Genomic DNA, 4442 nt, shown 5'->3' with positions numbered 1-4442 from the left:
TAATTTTAGGTATATTGCTTTCTGTGAGTAAAGTATATACTTTATTTTTTTAAATTCAGGATATTTGCATCTCTCTCCATAAACGAGCTTGGACTATAATGCTTTATTCTCACATATTTTTATATATTTATTTCTGTTTCTTTTTCTATTCTCTAGTACAGATGATATAAGACTAGAAGTATCTGTACCTTGAATAGAATTTATTAGCAACACATCTTTGGTACTTTGTCAAAGTTAATTTTCAAGAGTTGATGTAATTCATTTAATTCATGTAGGACCATTAAAGTTTTCTATCTCCTGTAATTACTTCAGCTGGTATAAATTTTTCTAGGAAACAGGCAACTGTAATTTGCCATACTGTAGGTTGTCTAGTGGACCTGTAACTTCTGCCTGGCTCTCCCTGGCTCTTACATCTCTTCATTTCTGGAAGAAGTCAGCCACCACCCTGAGAGGACACTCAAGCAGCCCTGGGGCAGGAGGTTGTGTGGGAAGGAATGGACTTCTCAGAACCTACTTCCCAGAAATGTGAGTTAGCTGCCTTGGAAGTAGGTTCTCCAGTTCAAGTCTTTTTTTTTTTTTTTTTTTTTGCCGATGCTGTCGTTCATTGCGCGGAATGGGGGTGTGGGGGTTAATTGGGCGTAGGGGCCACGGTGGGGGCACTGCTGCCTCAGCTGGTCAGTACATTCATCACGGTGGCGGGACCCCAGCCTCGCCCCCGCGCCCGGCGCAACCAGGCCCGCCCCTCGGTGCCAGTGCTGGAGGGAGCTGGGGTGCTGCTCCCCAAGGTCACCGCGGGACGCGCGTGGACCGGGGCCGGGTCGGTTATTGCATGAGCGCGATGGGGGCAGCGGGAAGCCGGTGGGCCAAGTATTGCACTTAAAAAACGATCCTCATCGGACGGCGGGCCACCTAGAGGGCGGGGGGCGGGCGGGGCTCCACAGCCGGCTCCTCTCAGCCACTGGGCCGCCCCGTCCCTGTTTTACAGCTAGGGGAACTGAGGCACTGAGGTGAAGGGAGCCCCCTCGCACGCGAGGCCGCCGCCGGGGGCAGGGGCGATGGGAGTGGGCGCAGGGCGATAAGGGGGGACGGCCGGGGACGCGGAGGGGGCTGCCCCGCCGGCCCTGCCCGTCAGTCCAACTACGGCTACCTATGTCTTGTCTGTGGTTTCTGGGCGGGCTGGCGGCCGGGGCAGCGCAATGGCATGGCTTTGGTCTGGATGACGGCCCCGCCTCCGGCCCTCCTGGGCCCGCAGGGCGGTTGGCGAGGGTCACAAGTTGGACGAGAGGCGCGAGCGCGCGGAGTCCTGGGGGTCCAGGCCGCTGGCGGCGCCGGGTGAGGCGGAGTCCCTGCGATCCGGGCTGGGCGCGGCGGCCCGGGCAGCGGGCGTGGGTCCCAGAAGCGGTGTGGAGCTGCTGGCCGGGCGTGTGGAGGCCGCTGGGACGGGCGTTCCGTGGGGCAGCGAGGGCTGCGAGGCGGACAGTGGGCGCAACGCGCGGCTCAGGCGGCGCGAGGGCAGGGCGGTCCCAGCAAGGGGGGCGGCGGGCAAGCTGCCGTAGGGCGAGGTCCGCGGTGCCCGGGGGCTGGCGGGCGCGCCCAGGGGGCTGGCGGGGGGCGGGGGCCCGGGTGAGGCGGCGGCAGGTGCGGGCCCCGGGGGCGGGCGGCGCACGAGGCGCGGCGAGCCGAGCGCCAGCGGCCCCACGAGCGGCCGCGCCACCTGCGGGCAGAAGCTCATGACCACGGCCTGCTGCAGCGTGGCGATGGCCGAGGTGACCTGCGGCGGCGGCGGCGGCGGGAAGAGGCCCAGGCGCTGACCCAGCTCGGCCTGCTGCACCATCTCGCCGTCGTACTTGACGATCTCCTGGATGATGGCGTTCTACTGGTTGTTGAATACGCCCGAGTTAAGGTCATGCTGCACCTTGTGCAGGAGGATGGAATTCTTCTTGCCGATGCGGTCCAGGCGGTCGATGGCCACCGTCTCGAAGGCGCGCCGCATCATGGGGTACTCCTCCAGCACCTCGTTGAAGTTGTCCACGCTCAGCGAAAGGAGGCGGCAATAGGTGTTGGCCCGCACGCTCGCCATGCGGTGGCCCCGGGTGAGCAGGCAGATCTCTCCGAAGTAGGAGCCATCGAACAGCTTCATCTCCTTGTTGCCCTTAGCGAGCACGCTGACCACGCCGTGCTGAATGAAGTACATCTTCCCGATGGTGCCTTCGCGGATGAGGTAGTCACCCGGCTGGAAGACCTCGAACTTGAGCTTGGTCAGCATGGCCGTGACGAAGTTGGGGTCAGCATTGGCGAACAGCGGCATGGAGGTCACCAGCTTCCGGCAGTTGAAGTTGACAATCTCCTCCCGCAGGGGCCCGTTGAGCTCGCCCAGGATGCTGTCCTCGTCGAACATCTTGCCCTGGTAACGGTGCTCGTAGTAGTCGTGGATCTTCTGGCGGAAGTCGGCCGGCAGCTTGTGGAAGGACATGTACTGCTCCACCTGCTTGTACTTCTGGTATTGGCGCCGCGAGGAGTCCAGCGACTGGATGAGGGCAGTGGCGTGGCCGATGAACATGGCGTAGCAGGTGTCACTCACAATCATGCTGAGCATGGTCAGCCAGATGTCCGTCATGCTCTCGGGCGCCTGCCGGCCATACCCAATGCACAGCATGTGGCTCATGGCCTTGAAGAGTGCGAAGGAATACAGTTCGCTCCACCAGTGGTTCACCATGCCATTGATGGACACCCAGCAGTTGCACGGGAAGTCCTGCAGCATGGCCACCAGGAACTGCAGGCAGCCATCCCAGTGGCAGAGCAGCAGCATCATACTGATGAGGTTGCAGAACCGCATCACCGCGCTGGCCAGGTCATAGGTCATGTGGAAGATCTCCTCCCACTGGTGGATGTAGCGGATCAGGCGCGAGAGGCGCAGCAGCCGCAGGAGGCTGAGGATCTTGGTGAAGCGCACGATCCGCAGGGCGCACGCCGTCTTGTAGACCTCGGAGTCGATGCCCTTCTCCACGATGAGGAAGATGTAGTCCACGGGGATGGAGGACACGAAGTCCACCATGAACCACGTGCGCACGTACTTCTTGATCTTCTCTTGGTCCAGGATGATCTCCGTGTTGTCCTCGATCACAATGCCGGTGCGGAAGTTCAACACCAGGTCCATGAGGCAGAAGGTGTCCGAGACCACGTTGAACACGATCCACAGGGCAGTGGTCTCGTCCTTGAAGAAGGTGATGCCCACTGGGATGATGATGAGGTTTCCCACCATGAACAGCAGCATGGTGAAGTCCCAGTAGAACCTGAAGTCGCTGTACGGGTGGATGATCCAGGACCCCGCTGACTGGACGCGCTCCTGCTCGCGCTCCACGGCCTTCTGGCTGCCGAACATCCGCAGCGAGAACTTGTTGACGCCCAGCTGCAGGAGCGCGCCGAAGTGGCGCTGCATGAAGCTGGCCCGGCTGCGGCGCGGCTCCGCCGCCGGGCCGCCACCTCGCTGCCGGCCTCCTCCGCCGGCCCCGGCCCCGGCCCCGGCGCGGGCCCCGAGGCCGCCCCGGGGCACAAGAACTACACCTTGGGCCCCCGCGCCGGGCCCTCGGGCCCCGCGGGGCTGCACTGCGGCTAGCCGCGCCCGCACTCGGCCGTTCCGGCTGCCCTTGGCCGTGCTCGCCGTGCCCGGGATGCCGGGGCTGCCGCACTAGCTGTCGCGGCTGCGGCGCTGGCCCCGCGGGCCGCCCTCCTCCGCCGCCTCCGGGGGCAACGCCTCGGCCCGGGGCGGCTGCTGTTGGGGGGGCGCGGCGGCGGCGGGGCTCTCCCCGGGCCGCCCGCCGCCCCCGCGCGCGTCCATGGCGAGGCGGCGCCCGGCAGTGCGGAGCGGAGCCGCCGACCAGTTCAAGTCTTTACATGGCCGTTACCCCAGACATCTGCCTGAAGCCTCCTGAGAGCTCCCAAACCAGAAATATATATTTGAGCTGCTCCTAAGTACATGACCCACCCACAAATGAGAGATCATCAAAGATTATTGTTTTTGAAATCACTAAGTAGGGGGGCGACCTGTTATGCAACAATATATTACTAATACAAATGTTTTCTTATGATTACAAATAAAAATTGTTATTTGACTGACTTATGAGGATTTTAAAATATTAACATACAATCTTTTTTGTTATTTTTTATTTTGATTTCTAATTGCATTGCCTTACGACTGAAGAACAATTGGATAACGTCTGCATATCTTTATTGAAAATTTTCTTGTATTTATGGCACATAGCCCATTTTTATAAATGTTCCATGAGTGAATGAGAATATGTACTTTCTAATTATTTGTTGCAGTTAAATATTGACACACTTGACAAATATGTGATCACTTTACTTACCAATTTCTTCATGAAGTTCTGACTGTGCATAGTTGATATTATGTTCTTAGGTTTAGACAAAAACTGTTGTCTATT

The 4442-nt window shown here is 59.5% G+C and overlaps 1 pseudogene; it reads right to left on the bottom strand.

Annotated features, from left to right (window-relative positions):
- On the bottom strand, positions 588 to 3764 carry LOC728424 (hyperpolarization activated cyclic nucleotide gated potassium and sodium channel 2 pseudogene; annotated as a pseudogene).

Source organism: Homo sapiens, chromosome 15, assembly GCF_000001405.40.
Source record: "Homo sapiens chromosome 15, GRCh38.p14 Primary Assembly".
In the NCBI taxonomy this organism is placed as follows: domain Eukaryota; kingdom Metazoa; phylum Chordata; class Mammalia; order Primates; family Hominidae; genus Homo; species Homo sapiens.
This window is presented reverse-complemented; position numbering and strand designations above follow the sequence as displayed.